This window comes from Homo sapiens, chromosome 4 (assembly GCF_000001405.40).
Source record: "Homo sapiens chromosome 4, GRCh38.p14 Primary Assembly".
NCBI classification, from domain to species: Eukaryota; Metazoa; Chordata; class Mammalia; order Primates; family Hominidae; genus Homo; species Homo sapiens.
Genome location: NC_000004.12, coordinates 128,092,532 through 128,120,152, shown reverse-complemented (window position 1 = coordinate 128,120,152; position 27,621 = coordinate 128,092,532). Strand labels below are relative to the sequence as shown.

The window sequence follows — 27,621 nt, the reverse complement described above, 5'->3', positions numbered from 1 at the left end:
AAATTTAACAACAACTATGCCCTGATGGAGCTCACATTCTAGTAAACAGAAGACTACCCAAGATGTTTTTACTAAAAAAAGACAAGTTGTAAAACACTGTGAATATATATTTTTTAAAATACTGATGATATATTTTAAACAATATACATTGCTTTTCACATTTGCAGGTACATGATAAAAGTCTAAGAGAATAAACAAACTGTTAAATTTGTTTTTGTAATTTCTGAGGAAAAGACCATTATTAAGAGATTAGGGGTTGAAGATGACTTAAGTTTGCATGCTTATTTGCAGTAATAATACACAGTGCAAAGAATAAAAACAATAAATCCACATCAATACTGAAAACAAGTATTACTATCAGAAGATCAAAGACTTTTATGACTTTCGGGAAAGCAGAAAATAAATGGGATTGTATTGATAATAAACAAAAGCAGAGAAAACAGCAACCTAGAACTGATACAAAGGTTAAAGGGGAAGCAAAAGCCATTGATCCCGCCAGGGTTCTAGAAAGTTTTGAGATGGCAGTTACAAGGAGTAGGAATGGACTATTGGATGGCAATCAAAATAGGTATTTGGAAAACCAACTATAGAACACAGCTGGAACAGTCAATCCAATCCCTTTATCTCAGAATATAAAACTATATAAAGATCGCTCCCAACTAAAAGCCCAAGAATTACTTTCTAAACAAAATAAGATTTGACAAGAGAGGGCTCATGTTTTGTGTACTGGGGCTGAACAGAAGTTGAACACATCCTAGCATTATTCTGAACCTCTAAAATAGAGCTGGGGGGAGGAAAAGAAAAGGTAATTTCACCAATGAATGAGATACACTAAGAAATTCTACATCCCAGAGAAAAGTACTGCTTTTTTTGTTTTAGCAATTTTGGAGAAAAAGAGCCAGCATCCCTATTCTCTGCCTAGGTGTCCAAGTCCATAGGACGTTTTCACTTACCAAGAACGTGCAATCAGCTGGGCACAGTGGCTCACGCCTGTAATCCCAGCACTTTGGGAGGCCGAGGCAGGTGGATCACCTGAGGTCAGGAGTTCGAGACCAGCCTGGCCAACATGGTGAAACCCCATCTCTATTAAAAATACACAAAAAAATTAGCTGGGCATGGCGGCGGGTGCCTGTAATCCCAGCTACTCGGGAGGCTGAGGCAGAAGAATTGCTTGAACCTGGGAGGCGGAGGTTACAGTGAGCCGAGATCACACTGCCATTGCACTCCAGCCTGGGCAACAAGAGCGAAACTCTGTCTCAAAAAAAAAAAAAGACTGTGGAATCATACCTCACATTAAACAAAACAGCCCACTAGATGAGCAGATTAGATCAAACAAGAAAACCATGCATATTTACTAATATTAATATGAACTATCAACCAAAAATCGCCAGATATTAAGAAAGCATTCAAAAAGCAACCAAAACAATGATGGAAATAATGAAAATATCAGAAGAGAACTTTTTTTAAACACCCAAGGCCCAGTATTTAGATGATCTATCAAGGAGGTCCAACATCAGATGAAAACAGATACCAGAAAGTGGAAATAAGAGAAACATTAGTTTCTCCCAAATGAAGGACATGAATACTCAGCACAATGCATAAAAATAGACCAGACAGAGCAGGGCGCGGTGACTCACGCCTGTAATCCCAGCACTTTGGGAGGCTGAGGCGGGCGGATCACGAGGTAAGGAGATCAAGACCATCCTGGCTAACACGATGAAACCCCGTCTCTACTAAAAATACAAAAAAAAAAATTAGCTGGGCGTGGTGGCAAGCGCCTGTAGTCCCAGCTACTTGGGAGGCTGAGGCAGGAGAATGGCATGAACCCGGGAGGTGAAGGTTGCAGGGAGCCGAGATCGCGCCACTGCACTCCAGCCTAGTGACAGGGCAAGACTCCATCTCAAAAAAAAAAAAAAAAAATAGACCTGACTGGGCAAGGTGGCTCATGCCTGTAATCCCAACACTTTGAAAGATCGAGGTGGGTGGATCACTAGAGCCCAGGAGTTCAAGACTAGCCTGGGCAGCAAGGAGAAACCCTGTCTCTACAAAAAAAAAAAAAAAAAAAAAAAATTAGCCGGGCCTGTTGGTTTGTGCCTGTAGTCCCAGCTACTTGGGAGGCTGAAGCAGGGGAATCGCTTGAGCCCAGGAGGCAGAGGCTGCAGTGAGCAGAGATCGCGCCACTGCACACCAGTCTAGGCAAAGGGAGTGAAACCCTCTGCCAAAAAAAAAAAAAAAAAAAGATTTTCTGTTTAAAATTAGACCTACACCAAAGCACATCATCTTGAAATTTCAAGAGCTGGGGATGAAGAAATGATCTTAAAAATCTCAAGCAAGGCCAGGTGTGGTGGTTCACACCTGTAATCCCAACACTTTGGGAGGCCGAGGCCAGCGGTTCACCTGAGGTCAGGAGTTCGAGAACAGCCTGGCCAACATAGTGAAACCACGTCTCTACTAAATATACAAAAATTAGGCCAGGTGCAGTGGGCCACACCTGTAATCCCAGCACTTTGGGAGGCCGAGGCGGGTGGATCACCTGAGGTCAGGAGTTCGAGAACAGCCTGGCCAACATGGTGAAACCCCGTCTACTAAAAACATAAAAATTAGCTGGGTGTGGTGGCCTGTGCCTTTAATCCCATCTACTCTGGAGGCTGAGGCAGGAGAATCGCTTGAACCCGGGAGGGGAAAGTTGTACAGAGCCGAGATCACGCCACTGTACTCCAGCTTGGGCAAAAGAGTGAGATTCTGTCTGAAAAAAATAAATAGATAAATGCAAAAATTAGCCGGGTGTAGTAGCAGGTGCCTGTAATCCCAGCTACTCACGAATCTGAGGCAGGAGAATCTCTTGAACCCAGGAGGTGAAGGTTGCAGTGAGCTAAGATCACACCATTGCACTCCACTGCAGCCTGGGCAACAAGAGCAAGACTCTGTCTCAAAAAAAAAAAAAAATCTCAGGCCGGGCATGGCAGCTCATCCCTATAATCCCAGCACTTTGGGAGGCTAAGGCAGGCGGATCAGGAGGTCAGGAGATCCTGGCTAACATGGTAAAACTCCATCTCCATTAAAAATACAAAAAATTAGCTGGGCATGATAGCACACACCTATAGTCCCAGCTGCTCGGTAGGCTGAGACAGGAGAATTGCTTGAACCCAGAAGGCAGAGGTTGCAGTGAGCCAAGACTGCGCCACTGCACTCTAGCCTGGGCGACACAGCAAGACTCAAAAAAAAAAAAAACTCAAGAGGAAAAAAAAATCACTTGATAAAAAGAATGTGAATGGACTGACTTTCATAAGATGACAAAAGAAACCAAGATGACAAAAGAAAAATGCTTTTAGAATTCCAAAGAAAAATGATGCCCAACAAAGATCTGTATACCCACTCTAGAATGTTTTTAAAAGATCACTTTTTTAAAAGTATATTAAAAATAATGTCAATAACTGAGCTACCTCAACAGTTATCTCTGAAATATCTAGGCCCCCAGAACCTAAAGCCATGTTTCCTCCAGGCCAGATCCTCAGTCTGTAGCATCAGAATACCATACATTTCAGATATACTGGCATTGTTTGGCCATAAAACTACACAGTTCTCCTTATACTTTTAAAACCAGCTACCAGAACCAATTTGCTGGTCCTCCACATCACAATCCTCTCAATACCTTCCATCCCCTTTAGAGAGCTTACTTTCAATATTTGAATCTTTTGAGTGGCATTCTCCCCAAGTTTATTTTTAGTGAACTTTTACTTTGAAATAATTATACATTCAGATACAGTTGTAAGAAATAATAGAGATCTCATATATCCTGGTTTCCCCCAATGTTAACATCTCACAAAAATATACTACAACATCCCAAACAAGGTATTGACTTTGATATAAATCAATCTTAGCTTATACTTCCCCAGTTTTACTTGCACTCATTTGTGATTTAGATCAAAGCAATCCTATCACATATGTAAGTTCGTGTATCTACCACCAGTGAAAAATGCAGAGCAGTACCACCACAAGGATCTCCTATTTCTCTTTTTATAAATATAACCATCTCACTCTCTTATGTACCCTCCACCAAAAATTCAATTTTCTTTTCCTTTTGCACATTAAATCACCAAAACATATATAAACCAGATATATAAATCACCAACACTTATATAAACCTTATAAATAATTAACATGAGTGTAACTTCAAAATTTATACATTTTCTGGCCAGGCCGCAGAGGCTCACGCCTGTAATCCTAGCACTCTGGGAGGCCAAGGCAGCCAAATTATTTGAGGACAGGAGTTTGAGACCAGCCTGGACAATATGGTGTAATCCCGTCTCTACCAGAAACACACAAAAAAATAGTTGGGCATGGTGGAGTGACCCTGTAATCCCAGTAAGTCAGGTGGCTGAGGCACAAGACTCTCTCGAACCCAGCAGGCAAAGGCTGCAGTGAGCCAACATGGCAGCAACAGCACCCCAGCCTGGGCGACAGAGCGAGACTCTGTCTCAAAAAATAAAAGTCATATTTTTTCAACTTCATAAAAAACTGAAATATTATTCAAGTTAAAATTAGTCACAAGTAGAAAAACCAAGACAAAATTCTTTTTTTTGAGACAGGGTCTCACTTTGTCACCCTCCCTGGAGTGCAGTGGTGTGATCATGGCTCACTGCAGTCTTGACCTCCTGAGCTCAAGTGTTCCTCCTGTCTCAGCCTCCTGAGTAGCTGAGACCACAGGCACATTCCACCAAAAAATTAGCATTAGCTAACTTTATGAATTATTTGTAGAGACAGGGTCACCCTATGTTGCCCAGGGGGCCCCGAACTCCTGCGCTCAAGCAATCTTCCTGCCTTGGCCTCCCGAAGTGTTGTGATTACAGGAATGAGCCACTGTGCCCAGCCTCCAAAATTCTTAAATCATGTTCAGAAATAAAAAATATACTTTAAGGCCGGGTGCAGTGGCTCATGCCTCTAATCCCAGCACTTTGGGAGGACGAGGCGGGCGGATCATGAGGTCAGGAGTTCAAGACCAGCCTGACCAACATGGTGAAACCCCGTCTCTACTACAAATACAAAAATTAGCTGGGCATGGTGGCTCGCGCCTATAATCCCAGCTACTCAGGAGGCCAGGGCAGGAGAATCGCTTGAACCTGGGAGGCAGAGGTGGCAGTGAGCCAAGATCGCGCCACTGCACTCCAGCCTGGGCAATAGGGCAAGACTCCATCTCAAAAAAAAAAAAATAAATAACATTTTAAAAATTGATACAACTTATTTTCCTCATAGAATAACCCATAAGTGTCTACTGAAGGCCAACAATTACAAAGTTAAAATTGTGCTAAACTTTTCCAAATTTTACATATGTACCTAACAAACATAAAGTGCACTGACCTTATACTCCACCCAGGGTATGTCACACTTCACTCAGTCTGTAACAACTTACCCTCAATTTCACTGGGGCTGGCTGATGTCTTTTTTTAACTTCTATCCAAGGTTCTGAGTCCAAGTCAGGCAAACTGGTAGACAAACCTCTAGACATTGCTTGAAGAATACTTGTTTCACTGTTTTTCTTTGGGCTCAATGGGCTTCCAATTCTTGGAGAATTTGGGGCAGACTCTAAAATTTTAAGTTAGTTCTATAGTTAAAATGATAATGGCTTTTCTTACTTACAAAATACACTTCATTTTTTCCTTAACTGGGGCTTGATATTTTTTCACAAAAACATGATCAGTCTCAACTGTAAGCTTTCCAGTGATTTTCAAACCTGAAGGGCTCATAAGATTTACTCAAAAGTGAAGCCACTGAATAATTAAAGCATGTCACCAAGTCTTACACAGACCACTACATTCATGTAAACTTCTCAAAAATATCAATGTGAGTCACTTCCTAATTATGACAGTACAACTATTAGGAAGTCAAGTTCTCTGAAAAATCTTAGATTAAAATCTATAAATTATAAGGAAATTATGGCATCTCAGTTGCTATTAAGCCATAGTTAAGCTAAATGCACATCTTATTCAAGGTAAAATTAGTCTCTTGTTCTACTAGGGTCTATACTAAAGCCATTATTACTCCTACTTTTCACATTTCCTTGGCTCAGCAAGGTTTGTCTACTGCAATAAATGCAGTGTAGTCATTTACTACTTTGGCTCATACTGAAATACTTTAAAGAGTGAAGTGTCGACTGGCCTGACCAACACGGAGAAACCCTATCTCTACTAAAAATACAAAATTAGCCGGGCGTGGTGGCACATGCCTGTAATCCCAGCTACTCAGGAGGCTGACGCAGGAGAATCGCTTGAACCTGGGAGGTGGAGGTTGCAGTGAGCCGAGATGGCGCTATTGCACTCCAGCCTGGGCAACAAAAGCGAAACTCCATCTCAAAAAAAAAAAAAAAAAAAAAAGAGTAAATGTCACATCACTAACGCACACAGCCCTGGCAATAACATTAAAAGCATTTAAAAATTGTTGGAACTTAAAAGGTCTTTCTATACAGTACACTTCTGTAGGTTTATTTTTAATCAAAATGATAAAATTCAAATTGCAGCCAGGCGCAGTGGCTCACACCTACAATCCCAGCAGTTTGGGAGGCTGAGGCGGGTGGATCACAAGGTCAGGAGTTCAAGACCAGCCTGGCCAAGATGGTGAAACTCCGTGTCTACTAAAAATACAAAAAAATTAGCCAGGCCTGGTGGTGAGCACCTGTAATTCCCACTACTCAGGAGGATGAGGCAGAGAATTGCTTGAATCCGCAAGGCAGAGGTTGCAGTGAGCTAAGATCTGCGCTCCAGCCTGGGCGACAGAGCAACTCTCTGTCTCAAAAAAAAAAAAAAAGAAAAAAAGAAAAGAAAAAGAAAAAAAATCAAATGGCTTCTTTTATAAATATTTTTTCAAAAGTCAAAGAATATTTAAATATTTTAAGTTATATTCATGTTTAGATCTGAAGATGCAATATGAACTTGCTTTGAACACAAGGTGTCTTCAAAAAATGTACTCTGTAACATTATGTTGTAAGCCTCAAATATACACAATAAAATTTATTTTTCAAAAATGTATACCATAAAATTCTTAACATCATTAACTCCTCTAAGTCAATTCACTGAAAATATTGAGAAGTTAAATGTTAAATGCAGAAAGCTGAAATAAATTAACACCAGCAATCTTTTGTTTAATATTTACTAAATGAAAGGCACATTTCAAGAATGGGTTTAAGAAGAGTATTTCAAGATTTTACATTCATCTACATGCTAGACATAGATGAGAGTAAAATCAGATAGCTTTAATATCTTCCCCTTGGACACATGGACTCAACCAGGACTCAACTACTAGATTACTGTATTATTTATAAAAGACTATATATTGTTTCATAACAGGAAAAGCTCTAGAACTGTGCTGTTCAATACAGTAGGCACAGCTGGGCGTGGTGGCTCATGCCTGTAATCCCAGCACTTTGGGGGGCCGAGGTGGGCGGATCACCTAAGGTCAGGAGTTGGAGACCAGCCTGACCAACATGGCAAAACCCCATCCCTACTGAAAATACAAAAACTAGCCGGGCGTGGTGGTGGGTGCCTGTAATCCCAACTACTTGGGAGGCTGAGACAGAAGAATCCCTTGAACCAAGGAGGCAGAGGTTGCAGTGAGCTGAGATCACGCCATTGCACTCCAGCCTGGGAGACACAGCAAGACTCCATCTCAAAAAAAAAAAAAAAAAAAAAAAAATAGAGTAAGCATTAGCTATATGCAGTTATCTATCACTTCAAATGTGGCTAGTCCTGAAACATGCTCAGGACAAGAGTAAAATACACACCAGGTATTAAAGACCAGGTACTCCCAACCCCGCTAAAAAAAAATAGTGCCATTAATTTTTACACTGAGCATATAACATTTGGATCTATTAAGTTAAATTAAAATATCTATTTAAAATATTAAAATTAATTTCATGTTTTATAATTTTAAGAATACTAAAATTTTTAGAGTTATATACATGGCTCACATTTTTATTGGACAGTGGTGCTCTGTAACTTTATTAACACTACATATATCACCAATTCATTCACAAAAAAAGTACAAGTGAAATACAAGCTTTGGATGAACATTAATTGTCTAGTTATAGGAATGGGAAAAATATTAACTCCAGAGAACACTTTTTTTTTTCTTTTTAATGAACCATACATGAAACTTTTTTTAAGAGACAGAGGATGGGCACAGTGGCTCATGCCTATAATCCCAGCACTTTGGGAGGCCGAGGCAGGCAGATCATCTGAGGTCAGGAGTTCAAGACCAGCCTGGCCAACTGGTGAAACCCCGTCTCTACTAAAAAAAAAAAAAATACAAAAATTAGCCAGGCGTGGTGGTAGGCACCTGTAATCCCAGCTACTTGGGAGGATGAGGCAGGAAAATCACTTGAACCCAGGAGGCGGAGGTTGCAGTGAGCCACTGCACTCCAGCCTGGGGGACAAGAACAAGACTTTGTCTCAAAAACAAAACAAAAAAAAGAGACAGGGCCCCTTACAGCTGTACAGTGCCATGATCATAGCTCACTACAGCCTCAAACTCCTGCGCTCAAGTAATCCTCTCAACTCAGCCTGCTGAATAACTAGTACTACACATGCACACCACCACACCCAGTCAACATAAAAATACATGTATTTTGTAGACTGGGTCTCACTTTGTTACCCAGGCTGGCCTTGAACTCCTGGCCTCAAGCAATCCTCTCACCTCAATCTCTAAAGCGCTGCGATTATAGGCATGAGCTACTGCACCTGGCCCAGAGAACTCTATTTCTAATACTATGAATTATCAATGTTCATATTAAATAAAGCCTTAAAAGTAGATGAAGAGCTGGGCTTGGTGGCTCATGCCTATAATCCCAGCACTTTGGGGGGCCGAGACAGGTGATCACCTGAAGTCAGGAGTTCGAGACCAGCCTGACCAACATGGTGAAACCCCGTCTCTACTAAAAATACAAAAAAATAGCCGGGCGTGGCAGCACACACCTGTAGTCCCAGCTACCCGGGAGGCTGAGGCAGGAGAATTGCTTGAACCTGGGAGGCGGAGTCTGCAGTGAGCAGAGATCGTGCCATTGCACTCCAGCCTGGGCAACGGAGCAAGACACCATCTCTTAAAAAAAAAAAAAAAAAAATTATGAGTTTTTGGTATGTCACCCAGTCTGGCCTTGGAACTCCTGGGCTCAAGTATCCTCCAAACTTAACCTCCCAAGTAGCTGGGCTACAGGTGTACACCCCCACACTCAGATGCTTCTTATAAAATTATCTCTAAATGTTATTTAAGCTTGAATTATGCTTAAATACTTCTACTGGGAAGTAAAGTATTTCAATATATTCGCCAACACATATGCTTAGAAATGAAATGACATTAAAACACTAAAGAATTTGGGTAAGACAAGAAAACGTACAATTCTTAGAATAAGACTCGTAAAGGTGTTAACCTCATAATTAATTTACATATATGCTCTGTGTGGTCTGCTGCATCTTTTTTTTTTTTTTTTTGAGACGGAGTCTCGCTCTGTCGCCCAGGCTGGAGTGCAGTGGCGGGATCTCGGCTCACTGCAAGCTCCGCCTCCCGGGTTCACGCCATTCTCCTGCCTCAGCCTCCCAAGTAGCTGGGACTACAGGCGCCCGCCACTACGCCCGGCTAATTTTTTGTATTTTTAGTAGAGACGGGGTTTCACCGTTTTTTTTAGCCGGGATGGTCTCGATCTCCTGACCTCGTGATCCGCCCGCCTCGGCCTCCCAAATCTTTTTTTTTTTAATAATGAAAAGACTTCAAACTATACATCTGAACGGATTAAGGGTAATAGTAAACCCTAATCTTCCAAGACAAAATGAGTTTAAATGACTTAGATTACCTGATATTAAACTACTTAGAAACAAAAAAAATTTAGATACATATATTTAATACTTGTTTTAATTTGTAAGAACACAGAAAATTTATCTTTGCTGCTTTTATTAACTGAAAATTATCAGTGGCCGGGCACAGTGGCTCACGCCTGTAATCCCATTTTAGGAGGCCGAGGTGGGCTGATCACAAGGTCAGGAGTTCGAGACAAGCCTGACCAACATGGTGAAACTCCATCTCTACTAAAAATACAAAAATAAGCCAAGCGTGGTGGCACACACCTGTAATCTCAGCTACTCGGGAGGCTGAGGCAAGAGAATTGCTTGAATCCAGGAGGCGGAAGTTGCAGTGAGCCGAGACTGCGCCACTGTACTCCAGCCTGAGCGACAGAGTGAGGCTCCGTCTCAACAACAACAAAAAAAATATCAACTGAACTCTCCAAAGATAAATCACCATATACATTTCATCTCTGGTATGATTTTTTTTTTGTACCTTGGGAGGATCACAGTTCTGGGTAATTAAAAAGGTTTCCTGAAAAAAGGATTATATATTTTATGTGTGGCACTTTTTAAAATTTTCATTGAGTGGTGCTAAGAGTCAAGGGGAAAAAAAAAAGAAAAGAAAGAAAAACACTACATTACAGTGCCCTTGTGAAGATTATTAAAATTTAAAAAAAGAAAAAAACCCAACATTGTCAGGTACCTGACCTTTCAATTCTGATGAATGAAATCCTTTCATTTAAGAGTTAATAGTAAAATACTAACAATATCCATAAAACTGCAAAACCTATGTTTCAGAAGTAATCTTACCATTCCCATAATCAATGTTTTCTGGTGCATAAAGGTAGACTTCTGCTCAGTTCAACCCCTATTAGAAAATTCAACCTCCAGATAGGAAAAAAAATAGAAATTTTAATCTCTTTGATGAAGAAGACCAATTATGTTAGAATATTTTACCATACAAATCCCTCAGAAATCATAAAGAGTTATGTTGTTAAAATTTTAAGGTCTTCAAATTTGAGATTAAAATGATATACAGTTTCACTACTTTTCTCTACTCATAGATACATATAAGCACAGTCTATGCTTCTTATCTCTATTTCCACTTCAAATTTTTGGTGACATACTACTCTCCATTGACTTAAAGAAACTAGGCTTTCTTATCACTAGGAAATTATTAAGGTCAGAAATTTGGGAATTCATGGAAAGAGGTGATTTACATATTTATTCCTATGACCTAATGTGAATCAGCATAATTCTAAGAACCCTCCATCTTCCTATATTTCTTCATTAACCATCTAGTTTCTGATATGTAATCTAAATAACCTAAAATTTATGACATTTTAATATATACTGGCTTGTTTCAGACAATATGTATGTGCATGCATCTGAGTGTATATTAAAAAACACAAAAATGTACAACATTATGATTTTATTCTTATAATTTTATTAGTATGCATAAATGGTTAATGGACAGGCATTACCAACTTGACTGACCTATCTTACCTACCCTGCAGAGAAAGTATATGCTATTTTATCTAACTTACCCAATGCCTTGTGAACCCAATGTTCATAAGCTAGCTAAAACTATCATCTTGGACCCAAGTTGATATCATAAATAAATCTAACTTATATAATCACCCATTATATCTTAACAAAAAATAAATTAAAAACCACTAGCTAAAATAATGTCACTTTTCTTCAGCTTTTAAAATGCCTGTCCAAGTTGCTTACTGGGATTAGAAGCAGAAGGCTGACAAAGAAACATATGATAAAAATAGTGTGAGACTGTCCATCATCGATGCTTTGTTGATGGGACGTCCTCTCATACTGATGTATCAAAAATACATTTTGAAGAGTAAAGGAAGAAATAACCTCATCCAGTTCTTAAATTCCTTACCCCTTAAGTGACCACATTAATAAGTCTTATGTCCAAGTGAAACATCATGACAATATCTGAGTTTTACAATGTACACTACACTGAAAGGCAAATCGAATAGCAAAGTACTTAAGAATCTGGGAAATGCTACTCAATCCCCTCTTTTTCTGCTTTATTCATCTGGACACAAGTACATAACCCTGGAAACAGAAAACATAATCTTGCGGTATTTCCAGAATAATAATAATTAACTTTCCCACCATGAATAAAAGCAGCCCATGCAGCCCAGGCCAATTACACAGAAATAGGCAGCTCCTATAAAAAGAGTAGCAGTCCTCTGGTCTGTCTCTCATTATCGCAAAGGTGGTTATCTCCACTGCAGTGTTGGCCCAACTTCCTCCACCAAGAGGTGGGAATAGACATTCTTGAACAGAAGACAGTCTGATCGCTTTCATTTTTGCAGCAGGATTTGTTCCAGTATTTATAAAGGCATTTCAGTGAGTCACCTATTCCACTGCATATTCCGATCAAATGACATCCAAGAGCTTCAGAAGATCATCACCCTGACTGAAAAAAGTTTAAGCACACATTTTTTCCCAAGAGGGAATGTCTTAAAAATGATCCAGGAAAAAATTATTAACATTAAATCTTTTGGAAATTCTAAACACAACCAAATTAAACAGAACCCCAATTCTAATTTAGAATGCAGGTCATTTTATCTTTCCAAGACAAGATTAAAGCGTATTGGTAACAAAATTAAAGGAAGACTACCCCACTCTTGAGTATAAGACCTTTTTAGAATAATCCAATCATACTATTCCAATTTTACAGGGGAAAACGATACATATCTATAGTTATTTAGTAAAAATAAAAGATAGAAACTCCATACATGACAAAGTACACATATAATTTAAGAACAAGAAACATAAGACAGCTTTCCTCATAATTCTTAAATCCTTATTTAATTTGTAACTCTGTGAGTGAGGCAATATGAATACAAAATGGGACTCAAAAGTCTTTCAGTTAGCTTTAATTTTCCTATCAAATCTAAATAAACTGAAAATAAATAAATAAGTAAGTAAATTGGACCAAATAACCCACTGTTACATCGTTTGCTCTAGAAGAAAAGATGTTACCTGTATGTGAGCAAAAGGCTTGGCCTGGTACAAACTCTGGACAATCAATCAGTTGAGAGAAGTCTGTTGGTGGCACACTGCGTGGAGGAGGGCCTGGAATTGGCCATTTTTCTGGTTCTATCTTTTTTCTCATTTTCTCATCCACAATTTCTACTTCTGTGCTATCCTTCAGTGCCTATTAACAGAAATTGAGCTATTAAAATTATGAGCTATTTCACTGTCTGTGCTATACTTCTAAGAACCTAAAAATTTGAAAACCTGAAATTAGCAAACTAATTTGCAGTTAAGATTCTAAAAAATCCATAAGTTAACCACATAGAACACAAGTTTTAAAATCATTTGCACCTGTAAGGTAACAAATATCCTGATCTCCCACTTATTTAACTTCAGATGATATATTTTTCACAATTAGAACAGTCATTTAAGGAATACTGAATCAGCTAGAAGCAAATTGACTTTTACTATTTTCTTCTCTCTCATATTTCCTTGTCTTCCATTAAAATATTACCAAATAAAATGTAGGCATTTTATTATTGTAATAATTACCACAATTTATTGAATAATAAGTACTACATGTACTCATGATTCCTCACAATACCTCATAAAGAAGGTATCACCCCTACATATAGATGAGGAAACTGAGGCTCAAAGAAATAAACTTAATCAAAGATCACAGATCTAGTATGAGACAACACCAGGACTCAAACCACTATCTATCTACAACTAAAAGTCTTAGCCATTAGGCAAAGGTGCCTCCCCAATATGTACTACAAGGATAAAACAAAACTAGGCCAAAATTTCTTCAAGATACAAACTAAATCCTTATTGGTTTAACTTCTCACTGAAATACAGGAGTACTCACCTTTTAGAAATTAGGATAAATACAAAATGTATAATATAAAAACAATATAAAGTTATATGTACATTAACTTATAAAAATTAAAGCCCACTACATTTTAGCTGGAGAACATGCTGTATATAATTAAGAACATTAACCGGGCCAGGTGCTCATGCCTGTAATCCCAACACTTTGGGAGACCGGGGCGGGTGGATCACGAGGTCAGGAGATTGAGACCATCTTGGCCAATATGGTGAAACCTCATCTCTACTAAAAATACAGAAATTAGCTGGGCATGGTGGCATGTGCCTGTAATCCCAGCTACTTGGGAGGCAGAGGCAGGAGAATCACTTGAACCAGGGAGCTGGAGGTTGCAGTGAGCCGAGATGGCGCCACTGGACTCCAGCCTGGAGACAGAGCAAGATTCCATCTCAAAAAAAAAAAAGAACATTATCCATTCAGAAATGAACAGATTTTGAAAAAAGAACCTACTCTTGCTCTTAATATTAGTATGGTACTTAACTCTCAAGTTATATTTTCCATAACTGGGCATTTCTTTTTTTATTATTATTATTTTTATTTTTTGAGACGGAGTCTCACTCTGTCACCCAGGCTACAGTGCAGTGTTGTCAACTTGGCTCACTGCAACCTCCGCCTCCCAAGTTCAAGCAATTCTCTGCCTCAGCCTTCGGAGTAGCTGGGATTACAGGCACCCACTACCACACCCGGCTAATTTTTTTGTACTTTTAGTAGAGACGGGGTTTCACCAAGTTGGCCAGGCTGGTCTTGAACTCCTGACCTCATGATCCACCCGCCTCGGCCTCCCAAAATGCAGGATTACAGGTGTGAAACACCACGCCTGGCCATAATTGGGGATTCCTTTAAATTACAATTAGGACTTATTTTAAATGAAACTCCTTTGAGAAGGGAGTCTGAAATATAAAATGGAGAAAGATAGGAAAGAATCCTATGGTGAAAGCTTTAGATGAGTAAAATCAGTGTATTTTTCCCAACATATATTTTCCTCATTTTGTCCACTGAAAGACCTAGAAGCAATGACACCCCAGTAGCAAACAGTATGCCCAGCATCCAGACCATTGCAACAACATGGATGAATGTCAAAAACTACCAATGAAAAGAACTCAGAGACAGAAGAAATCAATTTACACAAATGCCAAGAACAGACTAATCTAATCTATGATATGAAAATCAGAAAAGTTGTTGGAGAGGCTGTGTGACACTGACTAGAAAGAGCCATGAAGGAAGTTTTTAGAATAATGAAAGTATTCTACATCTTGCCTGGGGTAATGCTTATGTTTAATTTTCAAAACTCACAGTGAACATCTAAGATCGCTGTATTTTACCATGTATTATCTATCCCTGAATGTAAAAAAAAAACAAAAAAAAAACTCCTTGAAACTTTCCCATATGTTTAAATTTTCCAAAGTAAAGTTGTGGAAAAAGACTGCTAGTAGTGTTGGTTAGAATGTGAAGCAAGTCAAACTCCCAATAGTGGTGGTTTTGATTGGTTTGATACTTTAAAAAAATGCTTAGCAGTATCTACAAAAGGTAATCACACATTTATGCCCTGTTACCCACCAGTTTCCCAGGAAAATAAATGCTTATGTTCACCCAGAAATATCTATGACAACGTTCACAGTAGCATCAAAGACCCAAAGTGGAAAGAACCCAAATATGTCTATCAATAGGAGCATAGAAAAATTAACTGTTGCCGGGCACGGTGGCTCAAGCCTGTAATCCCAGCACTTTGGGAGGCCGAGGTGAGTGGATCACCTGAGATCAGGAGTTCAAGACCAGCCTGGCCAACATGGTGAAACCCTGTCTCTACCAAAAATACAAAAACTTAGCCAGGCTTGGTGGTGGGTGCCTGTAATCCCAGCTACTCGGGAGGCTGAGGCAGGAGAATCGCTTGAAACTGGGAGGTGGAAGTTGCAGTGAGCTGAGATCAGGTCAGTACAACTCCAGCCTGGGCCATAGAGTGAGAGCGGTCTCAAAAAAAAGGAAGAAAGCAAGAAAAGAAAGATTGATTAACTGTTATATTCATACAATGGAAAAACTACCAAAAAACAGAAAGTAAACAACTGCTATACACCAATATGAATAAATCTCACAGAAATAACTTCAGAAATAAAATCAGATATAAAAGTCATAACACCATTTATGTGAAGTTCAAAAACAGGAGAGAGGCCTCTTAAAAGGGAAAGCAGTGGTACTGACTAGGAGGGTACAGAAAGCAGCTTGCCTGGGTCTTGAAAATGTTCTGTATCTTAATCTGGATGGCAGTTACCTGACCGTATACATAGGAAAAAAAATCATCTCTAATCTTATGAGTTACAATATATAATGTATAAAGGCCAGGCACGGTGGCTCACACCTGTAATCCCAGCACTTTGGGAGGCTGAGGCAGGCAGATCATGAGACTCCATCTCTAAATAAATAAATAAATAAAATAATAATAATGTATAAATTATGCCTCAATTTAAAAGAAAATATTTAAAGAAAAACTTGTGGGATGAAAAGCTCAAAGTTCTTTATGTACAGCTACTAAAGCCTCTTCCAACACATGTTTTTTATAAAAAATAAAAAAAGAGGAGGCCAGGCATGGTGGCTCACACCTGTAATCCCAGCACTTTGGGAGGCCGAGACGGGCGGATCACCTGAGGTCAGGAGTTCCAGACCAGCCTGGCCAACATGGCAAAAACCCGTCTCTACTAAAATACAAAAATTAGCCAGGCGTGGTGGCAGGCGCTTGTAATCCCAGCTACTCAGGAGGCTGAGGCGGAAGAATCGCTTGAACCTAGGAGGCAGAGGTTGTAGTGAGCCAAGATCATGCCACCGCACTCCAACCTGGGTGACAGAGTGAGACTCTGTCTCAAAAAAAAAAAAAAAAAAAGAGGAAGGGGCATAACAAACATTGTATGTAGTAAGGTATCATAGTATTCTCTTACATAAACAAACTATCTCAGGAGGAAGACACAAGAAAGAAGTAACACTGACCACTACCAAGGCAGGTAATTCATTCATTGTTGGTGGAAAAATGGGGAAAAAAAAATTTTTACCATATACCTTTTTTTTCCTTGGACAATCACTGGAAGATAACCATATACCCTTTTGAGTTTTGAATTTTGTGTAATTTATTTCCTATTTAGAAATAATAAATTTAAAAGGGAAATGAAGAACACATAAAGTGAAACATTCATCACTCAGGCCATAAAAGGATCATATAAAAATTACACCATGCACAAAATTAAGGTAAAGACCTAGAAGAAACATCGAGTTATAAAACCAAGCCTTGGTAATCCTGAACTCCTAAACAATGAGTTACTGGGTACATCAGTATTTTCCAGTATCTGAGGTTTTAACTGACTTAGCTATTAATTTTGGTTCTTTTCTTAATGATACAGACCTACTACTATGAATAACTACCAATGCCGGAATACATAGATGTTGCATTCTTACTGCCTGGTAGTAAGAGAAAGACTTGAATGTGCAAAGACCTGGAGATAAAAAGAAAAGAGCACAAGTTTTGAGGAACCACAAGTTCAGACAATTTAGAAAACAAGGTTTGAGATGAAAGTAGCAGGCACAGTTCTGAGGCTGATATTATATTAATTATTCCTCTAAATCCTCATACTCTATTATAGCTTAAGTATTATTTGCTATATTTTAACAAGAAAATTGAAGCATGAAGATATTACGTTAATTGCTTAGTTATACAACTGGTAAGCTATAGAACCAAGATCAATTTGCTCTAACAAATGGAAGACACAAAAAGCTTTCAATTATGGGGAAGACATCGAGAATGCAGTAAGCTAAAAAATAAATGAGCGGAGAAGAATCAGATTCAACAAGTTTGGTTTGCGTTTGCATACTCAACCAGGGCAGATACGGGTATCAGCTAAATTATTTTGCTTCTCTTGAGAGTTTTTCAAGAAAGGAAAAACTTGAGCATATTCAAATACATATGGGAAGAAGCTGGTTAAAATGAAATGCATGAAGATAAAGGAGTTATCAACAGAACGACATCGTTTAAGACTAACAATAATAGCAAATGCTTACTTATTTAGAGCTTACTACATTTGCCAGATACTTTCATTAACACAATTCATCCTCATGACAACCCTAGGAAATATATATTACTGTCTCAGGACACTGACAATAGTCACAGAGCTACAAGGGACATATTCATAGGTCCATGATCTTGATATGTTAACACTACAATGCCTAATGAAGCCTTACTTTCTCAACAGAAAAAGAACACCTTTCCTACTATTACAAATGGTAGGTGCATAATGAATGTTAAGTGAATGCAGACTTATGTTCTTCTAAATTGCTATGCTTATGTGTTTCTGCTTTTCAATAGTGGTATTATTTTTTACTGTATCATTAGCTACTGTATCAGTGCTAACCATAACAGTAGCTCAAAGCTTCCTTTTAAAAATCCTTCCTTACTGCTGTAGGTTGTAAAAACAAAATGTCAATGATCTTAAAATTGTGCTTGAGGATTTAATGGGACTACAAACAGACCAAAAAGGCATACAATAATAAAATTACAACTACATTCGTACAGAAGTAGACAGGGAAAAAATGGCAACAACTTCATAAAAAACGGCAGCTGAGTTGGCTACAGCACTTTGCTATAGCACAATGGCAGCAGTTAATAAACTCATTCTAATGCCGGCGGCGGTAGCTCATGCCTGTAATCCCAGCACTTTGGGAAGCTGAGGCAGGAAGATCACTTGAGGCCAGGAGTTCGAGACCAACCTGGCCAACGTGGTGAAACTCCATCTCTACTAAAAAATGAAAATAAATAAATAAGTAAATAAATAAACTCATTCTACTATGAATCATAATATTTGCTCTAAGAGCAAATTTTGCAAAAAAAAAAAAAAACTAATTTTCTCTGTTAATTACAATATATAGAAACCTTATATACTTATCTATAAACAAATGCAATAATGACATTGCTTACAGTAATTATTTTCATGAAACCAAGAATCATTAATTATACACCAACAAATCATTATTTTATGTTATTTTCAAAACATGGACTTTACTATAGTAAAATCAATTCTCCTGTCTCAGCCTCCCAAATAGCTGGGATTACAGGCACGTCACCATGTCCAGCTAATTTTTGTATTTTAGTAGAGACAGAGTTTGACCATGTTGACCAAGCTGGTGTCAAACTCCTGACCTCAAGTGATCCATCGGCCTTGGCCTCCCAAAGTGCTGGGATTACAGGCATGAGCCACCGCGCCCAGCCCTGTAGTTGATTTTTAAAACACGAAGCACACGTGTTCAAAAACTTGCTATTCAAAGAAGCCTGTTAAGAAATGAAGCCAGGCGCGGTGGCTCATTCCTGTAATCCCAGCACTTTGGGAGGCCGAGGCAGGTGGATCACCTGAGATAGAAGTTCGAGACCAGCCTGACCAACATGGTGAAACCCTGTCTCTACTAAAAAATACAAAAATTAGCCAGGCATGGTGGCAGGCGCCTGTAATCCCAGCTACTCGGGAGGCTGAGGCAGGAGACTCGCTTGAACCCAGGAAACGCAGGTTGCAGTGAGCTGAGATCACACCATTACACTCCAACCTGGGTGACAGAGCAAGACTCTGTCTCAAAAACAAAAACAAAAAACAAAAAAAAAAAGAAAAGAAAAGAAAATGAAAAGACAAAAACTAGGAAAAAATATTTGCAAAATACATAATGGACTTGTATCCAGAATGAAGAACTCATACAATTATCTTTTAAAAAACACTTCAATAATAATGAATAAAAAATCTGAACAGACATTTCCACTAATAAGGTATGCAGACAAAAAAGCACATGAAAAACTGCTAACAACTTTAATCATTAGTGAAATGCAAATTAAAACCACAATGAGTCCAGGCGTGGTGGCTCACGCCTGTAATCCCAGCACTTTGGGAGGCTGAGGCGGGCAGATCATAAGGTCAAAAGATCAAGACCATCCTGGCCAACATGGTGAAACCCCCATCCCTACTAAAAACACAAAAGTTAGATAGGCTTGGTGGCGTGCGCCTGTAGTACCAGCTACTTGGGAGGCTGAGGCAGGAGAATCACTTGAACCCAGGAGGTGGAGGTTGCAGTGAGCCAAGATCGCACCAGAACACTCCAGCATGGGCGACAGAGAGAGACTCTGTCTCAAAAAACAAACAAAAAAACACAATCAGGCCAGGCGCGCGGTAGCTCATGCCTGTAATCCCGGCACTTTGGGAGGCCAAGGCGGATGGATCGCCTGAAAGTCAGGAGTTCGAGACCAGCCTGGCCAACATGGTGAAATCTCGTCTCTATTAAAAATATTTAAAAATTAGCTGAGTGTGGTGGCAGGCGCCTGTAATCCCAGATACTTGGGAGGCTGAGGCAGGAGAATTGCTTGAATCCGGGAGGTGGAGGTTGCAGTGAGCCAAGATCATGGCATTGCACTCCACTCCAGCCTGGGCAACAAGAGCAAAACTGAAACTTTGTCCCAAAAAAATAAAAAACCCACAATGAGAAACCACTATATATCTATTATTCAAAAAACTGACAATATATGCAATGATAAGGCTGAGGAACAAGTCCTATAGATAATCGTGGGAATGCAAAATGGTAAAGCCACTTTGGACAATAGGTTGGCATTTTCTTATAAAGATAGGCATATACTTACTATACTTTCCAGCAATCACAATACTAGATATTTATCCAACAGAAATATATATGTGTGTGTGTGTGTGTGTGTATATATATATCCCTATAAAGATCTTCATGCTTTACTCACACTCTCCAAAACCATAAATAATCTGAATGTCCACCAACAAGTGAATGGATAAACTGTGGTATATCCATACCATGGAATACTAGTCAGCAATATGAAAGAACAAACTACTGCTACATGCAACATAGGTGAATCTCAAAAGCACAATACTAAGTGAAAAATCAGAAACAAAAGGCTACAACCTGGCCAACATTGGGAAACCCTGTCTCTACTAAAAATACAAAAATTAGCTGGGTATGGTGGCACACTCCAGTTATCCCAGCTACTTGGGAGGCTGAGGCAGGAAAATCCTTGAACCTGGGAGGCAGAAGTTGCAGTGAGCCAAGATTGTGCCACTGCACTCCATACTGGGCAACAGAATGAGACTCTGTCTCAAAAAAAAAAAAAAAGAAAGAAAAAAAGAAAAAGCAGATTAGTGATTGTGGTTACCAAGGGTTGTGTGTAGGGAAAGAAATTGGCTAGAAAAAAAAAGATGTTGAAAGCATTTCTAGAAACAGACCAGATGAGAGATTTTTTTTTTCCCCAAAGTGCTGGGATTACAGGCATGAGCCACCATGCCCAGCCAGAAGGACTATTTGAAATTAGCCTTTCAATAAGTGGGAACGGCTGGGAGTGCTGGCTCACACCTGTAATCCTAGCATTTTGGGAGGCGAAGGTGGGCGGATCACAAGGTCAGGAGTTCGAGACCAGCCTGGCCAAGATAGTGAAGCCAAGTCTCTAATAAAAATACAAAAATTAGCCGGGCATGATGGTGCGTGCTTGTAGTCCCAGCTACTCAGAAGGCTGAGGCAGGAGAATCGCTTGAACCCAAGAGGCAGATGTTGTGGTGAGCCGATATCATGCCACTGCACTCCAGCCTGGGCAACAGAGTGAGACACTGTCTTAAAAAAAAAAAAAAAAAAAAAAAAAAAATATATATATATATATATATACACATACATATACAGGAACACATGCTTTTTTACAGTAACCTGAAGAAATTTGTGTTTGATTGCGCCGTTGTACTCTATCACCCAGGTGCGAGCCGCCACGCCCAGCCCTGAAGAAGTTTTAAGGACCAAGGGTGTTCAAAAGGGTTAAAGTTTGAAGGATCAGGTTTAAAATAGGTTGACTAATTGAGGGGGAGGGGAAGGAGAAAATACACAGTAACATCGTTAGCAATACTTTCAGGGGTTTCCAAGGTTAGACATTTATGAAGGTTTTACAAAATAGAAAAACATCATGGAATGCTGTCTGAGCCTCAAGCAACTACAGATTGTCTGTTTTTAGTACTCTGTTTTTCAGAGAAGTTTTAGGTACAAAGGAAATTTGAGCAGAAAGTACAAATTGTTCATCAAATGAGCAATTACCTCTAAGATGAGATTAAGGTTTGTAGTGAGAGCCTGAACACGCTGAAAACCAGCAATCAGGGAAATAGGCAAGAAACCTTGTTCATCCATCTTTCCCCGAAGAAAGAAGTCTCGTTCCAAATTTTCTACACTGAAGTAATATTCACTGAAAAGAGAAATCAGAATTTCATCCATTTATTTAGTAGGAAATAAATATTTCTATTGCTCCCACATTAACTGTGAAAACCAATCATTAACATGAAAATATTGTAATTTGGTTAACAATATGTATAGCTCTAATACAACACAGATAGGGTAAACATATAAGATAGCAAAAAACTCTACTGAATTAATAATTTCTCTTAAACTTAAAATATTATTTTCCAAAAAATTAATAACTTCTATTTAGATCAGTTTCACTAAATATAAAGAATTAAGCTGCTCATTTTACCTTAAAATAGTTCAATAATTTTTTTTAATGAGTTAATTAGATGAAAATCTTTACAAAGCCACTTCTACTTGTTTCATTTAAGCATTAGATAACAAAGCTAATCCCATGTTAGCATAATGCCTTCCACCTTTTTCCCAGTCGCTGAGAAGAGTGGTATACTGGAAATATCCTTTGTCAAATTCACATACAGAAAAGTAGTTCATTTTGTTTTCTAAGTTGACAAAGTACTGCCATGTTTAATACTTCTGAAGCCTAGTAACCAGCACAATTCTTAGTTAAAAACTCAGTGAACATGGCCAGGCGCGGTGGCTGATGCCTGTAATCCCAGCACTTGGGGAGGCTGAGATGGGTGGATCCCCTGAGGTCGGCAGTTCAAGATCAGCCTGACCAACATGCAGAAAACCTGTCTCTACTAAAAACACAAAATTATCCGGGTGTGGTAGCGCATGCCTGTAATCCCAGCTACTCAGGAGGCTGAGGCAGGAGAATCCCTTGAACCCGGGCAGCAAACATTGCAGTGAGCCAAGATCGCGTCATTGCACTCCAGCCTGGGCAACAAGAGCAAAACTCCATCTCAAAAAAAAACAAAACAAAACAAAAAAAACTTAGTGAACACACAGGCATATGTGCACATATATATTTTGAACGATTCAAGTTCTCCATGCTTCTTTCTTTGATAGACAGACCATAAGACATTAAGGGTGGCCCGGTGAGGTGGCTCACGCCTGTAACCCCAGCACCTTCGGAGGCTGAGGTGGGTGGATCGCTTGAGGTCAGGAGTTTAAGACCAGCGTAACCAATATGGGGAAACCCCATCTCTACTAAAATACAAAAACTAGCTGGGCATGGTGGCGGGTGCCTGTAATCCCAGCTACTCGGGAAGCTGAGGCAGGAGAATCAATTGCACCCAGGAGGCAGAGGTTGCAGTGAACAGGGATGGTGCCACTATACTCCAGCCTGGGCGAGAGCAAGACTGTCTAAAAACAATAATAAAAGACGTTAGCCAGGCATGGTGGCTCACGCCTGTAATCCCAGCACTTTGGGAGGCTGAGGCGGGCAGATCACAAGGTCAGGAGATCGAGACCATCCTGGCTAACATGGTGAAACTCCGTCTCTACTAAAAATACAAAAAATTAGCCGGGTGTGGTGGCAGGCGCCTGTAGTCCCAGCTACTCGGGAGGTTGAGGCAGGAGAATGGCGTGAACCTGGGAGGCGGAGCTTTCAGTGAGCCAAGATTACACCACTGCACTCCAGCCTGGGCGACAGAGCGAGACTCCATCTCAAACAGAAAAAAAAAAAAGAAAGACATTAAGGGTGAACAGAATATAGCTAAAGAAGGAATATCCTTGACACCATGAGGCACATGGAAGCAAAAATATAGAAGATGATTAGATGTTTTATCTTCTCTTGAAAAACACAAACCCACTTAACCTTTCCGAGAGAAATGTAAATGGATGAACTGTCAGTATGATCAGTAACTACAAATCCCAAGATATAAAGATAATATTCACAATACATTTAATAATAGCCTTTGAGAAATACATGTTTATCCACACCATAGGAAAGGTTAAAGAGAGAGAAATACATGTTTAAATTATAGCCTCCATAGGCCGGGCGCGGTGGCTCACGCCTGTAATCCCAGCACTTTGGGAGGCCGAGGCGGGCGGATCACGAGGTCAGAAGATCGAGACCATCCTGGCTAACACGGTGAAACCCTGTCTCTACTAAAAATACAAAAAATTAGCCGGGCAAGGTGGCGGGCGCCTGTAGTGCCAGCTACGTGGGAGGCTGAGGCAGGAGAATGGTGTGAACCCGGGAGGCGGAGCTTGCAGTGAGCTGAGATCGTGCCACTGCACTCCAGCCTGGGCAACAGAGCGAGACTCCGTCTCAAAAAAAAAAAAAAAAAAATTATAGCCTCCATATATGTAAATGAGAGTATGAGGATTTTAAAGACAGAGAAGAAGACAAACGGGAAAATATAGAGAAGAATGATACAAAAGAAATACATAACATCAATGATGATGGGGCCTACAGTTTAATAATCCCACACTATTTCCAAATCACAGAGAAAGTTTTCAAACATGGAATACAAGTTATGAGAAAACAAACCAGCTCACATTTTGGGGTATAAAACTCAGTGACTAAAGATGCCCTTGAAGTATATGGGCCAAATTCTATCTTTGAAAAAAAGGCATCTATAACTGGAAACTTGTTTTCAGCTACCTTTTACTGAAGGGGAAGAAAATAAATCAACTTATTTTAAGAATGTAAATATCCAAATTTTCCTTTAATAGTTTGATATTTACCCAATTGTCAGAGTGCAAAGCTCTCTCAAAGACTACTGAAATACTACTGACATCTCACTCAGTAACACTAGTAAATCATTTACTTTTTTTTTTTTTTTTTTTTTTGAGATGGAGTTTCACTCTTATTGCCCAGGCTGGAGTGGGATGGCATGATCTCGGCTCACTGCGACCTCCGCCTCACAGGTTCAAGCGATTCTCCTGCCTCACCCTCCTGAGTAGCTGGGACTACAGGTGTGTGCCACCATGCCCGGCTAATTTTTGTATTCTTAGTAGAGACGGGGTTTCACTATGTTGGCCAGCCTGGTCTCGAACTCCTGACCTCAGATGATCCACCTGCCTCAGCCTCTCAAAGTGCTGGGATTACAGGAGTGAGCCACCATGCCCTGGCCTCATTTACTCTTTTTAAACACTAAAGGAAAAAATTTTAAACACTGAAGTCTTAAAGCAATGAAGATTCTGATGGTTGTTACACCTCAAAAGCCTTATTCATAGTGTCTGGCATGTGGCAGATACATAATACATGTGTTAAAATTCTAAAATTTCATGCAGGGCACGGTGGCTCACGTCTGTCATTTCCACACTTTGAGAGGCCATGGCAGGCAGATCACCTGAGGTCAGGAATCCGAGACCAGCCTGACCAACATGGTGGAACCCCGACTTTACTAAAAATACAAAATTAGTCGGCCATGGTGTTGCGTGCCTGTAATCCCAGCTACTGGGGAGGCTGAGGCAGGAGAATCGCTTGGACTCGGGAGGCGGAGGTTGCAGTGAGCCAAGATTGCACCATTGCACTGCAGCCTGGGTGACAACAGCAAAACTCCATTTCAAAAGAAAAAAAAAATTCTAAAATTTCAGACATTAAGACATTTAATTTAGTCACAAGTTACAACTGTTCTTAGCTGTGAGATGTGAACTTCCCTAAATCAATAACAAACTGTCCTGGCCAGGCACTTTGAGCTCAGGCATTCGAGACCAGATGGGGCAACATGGCAAAACCCTGTCTCTACTAAAAATACAAAAATTAGCTGGGCGCAGTGTCACGTGCCTCTAATCCCAGCTATTCGAGAGGCTAAGGCAGGAGAATTGCTTGAACTTGAACCCGGGAGGCAGAGGTTGAGGTGAGCCGAGATTGCGCCACTGTACTCCATCCTGGGCGACAGAGTGAGACAATGTCTCAAAAAAAAAAAAAAAAAAGAAAAAGAAAAAGAAAAAAGGAAAAAACCTCTAAAGATCTACAAATCTATCAGAGTGCTGTCATCTGAGTGCCAAGAGAGATTATCACAGCTAGAAATAATCAAGATCTTTACATTTTAATGCTGACATCACAAACAATTAATACAAGTTTTCACTTAAAATGTTAAAAACAAGTAGGCCAGGTGTGGTGGCTCACGCCTGTAATCCCAGCACTTTGGGAGGCCGAGGACGGCGGATCACAAGGTCAGGAGTTCGAGACCAGCCTGACCAACGTGGTGAAACCTTGTCTCTAATAAAAATACAAAAATTAGCATCTCAAAAAAATTTTTAAAAAGTTAAAAAAAAGTAGACTGCAATAAAAAGTTTTTAAAATGTTTTTAAAAAAAAAAAGGTCAGGCACGGTGGTTCACGCCTGTAATCCCAGCACTCTGGGAAGCTGATGTGGGTGGATCACCTGAGGACAGGAGTTTGAGACCAGCCTGACCAACAAGATGAAACCCCGTCTCTACTAAAACTACAAAAATTAGCTGGGCGTGGTGGCATATGCCTGTAATCACAGCCACTCGGGAGGCTGAGGCAGGAGAATTGCTTGAACCTGGGAGGCGGACGTTGCAGTGAGCCGAGATCGTGCCATTGCACTCCAGCCTGCACAACGAGAGCAAAACTCCATTTCAAAAAAAAAAAAAAAAAAGTTTAAAAAAAACCCCTCAACCATTTTGAATACGTTTAGGCCTCATACTGTACGATACATTTTGCATCATTTTTCCACAGGTGTCAGGAAAACATTTTTTTTTCTTTCTTTTTTGAGACAGAGTCTGGCTCTTTTGCCCAGGCCGGACTGCAGTGGCACTATCTCGGCTCACTGCACGCTCTGCCTCCCAGGTTCACACCATTCTCCTGCCTCAGCCTCCAGAGTAGCTGGGACTACAGGCGCCCGCCACCGCGCCCGGCTAATTTTTTGTATTTTTAGTAGAGACGGGGTTTCACTGTGTTAGCCAAGATGGTCTCGATCTCCTGACCTCGTGATCCGCCCGCCTCGGCCTCCCAAAGTGCTAGGATTACAGGCGTGAGCCACCGCACCTGGCCAGGAAAACTTTTAGTGACTTCTCAAAAAGAAAATCAAAACCTCAATCAATCAGCCTATCTATATATTAGAAACCAAATAATACAAAGTAAAAAGCACGACTCCTTCAAAGCCACATCTCCACTAATCAAAGAATGGTAATAATAATAACAAGCCACACTAAACCTAGTGCTCTACTAACATTTGCCAAAATCCCTACTGCTAGAACAACAACAAAAAAAGAGGCATGACCAATGCCATGTCTGACATTTTGCTCAGTGTCCTAGGGACATCATCAAGTCCTACCTTAGAGGCTCTGGATTCTACACTGCATGATCAGAAATTTTGTCAACACTGAAGTAGCTCTGCTCCTCCCTCACTTGTATGAGCACACTGGAGGCCGATTATCCTGACATGGAGTTGCATGTCCACTGTCAGGTCTCAGAAGGGACTTGGCAGCAAAAGTTACAAAAAAGACAGTAATAGTGGTATGAAGTTGACAGCCACATGTCAAGCACTTTCTGCCCACAAAAAGGCCCTTTTCTTCAGTGTTTGCATCAACTGTAACAAAAGAAGCAAGAACAATATAAACAAGTTGCTCCACACTGTAAGCAAATTGGATCCACCATGAAGGCAACCCAGGAAGGTGCCTGGCTGATGATGATAAAGAAATTTTCTAGTAACAGAGTAGAGTCTATTTTATTTTGGAAAAACAGATGATTTTTAAATGCCTATGCCCTTTCAAAAATAGCCCTTTTCCTTCACCTTGTAAGGAGAGAAAAATTTCAAGTTTTAACAAATTGGTT

At 39.9% G+C, this 27,621-nt stretch overlaps 1 protein-coding gene across 54 annotated transcripts in view; it reads right to left on the bottom strand.

Moving 5' to 3' along the window:
• LARP1B (La ribonucleoprotein 1B) overlaps window positions 1–27,621 on the bottom strand; it is a 162,138-nt gene that overhangs the window by 102,774 nt on the left and 31,743 nt on the right. For 49 of the 54 annotated variants that reach the window (XR_938753.3, XR_938754.3, NR_146772.2 and 46 more), the window contains 3 exons: window positions 21,823–21,967; window positions 12,840–13,014; window positions 5,411–5,583 (listed from right to left, as the gene is read on the bottom strand). Coding sequence is in view for 50 of the 54 variants with exons in the window: in XM_017008340.2 (XP_016863829.1) it covers window positions 5,411–5,583; window positions 12,840–13,014; window positions 21,823–21,967 (493 nt within the window). In the remaining 4 variants the exon portion in view is untranslated. Of the gene's footprint in view, window positions 1–5,410; window positions 5,584–11,251; window positions 13,015–21,822; window positions 21,968–27,121; window positions 27,374–27,621 lie in introns of those variants that run through there. The other 5 variants (XM_017008352.2, NM_001278604.2, XM_047415887.1 and 2 more) reach the window with 3 other exon arrangements.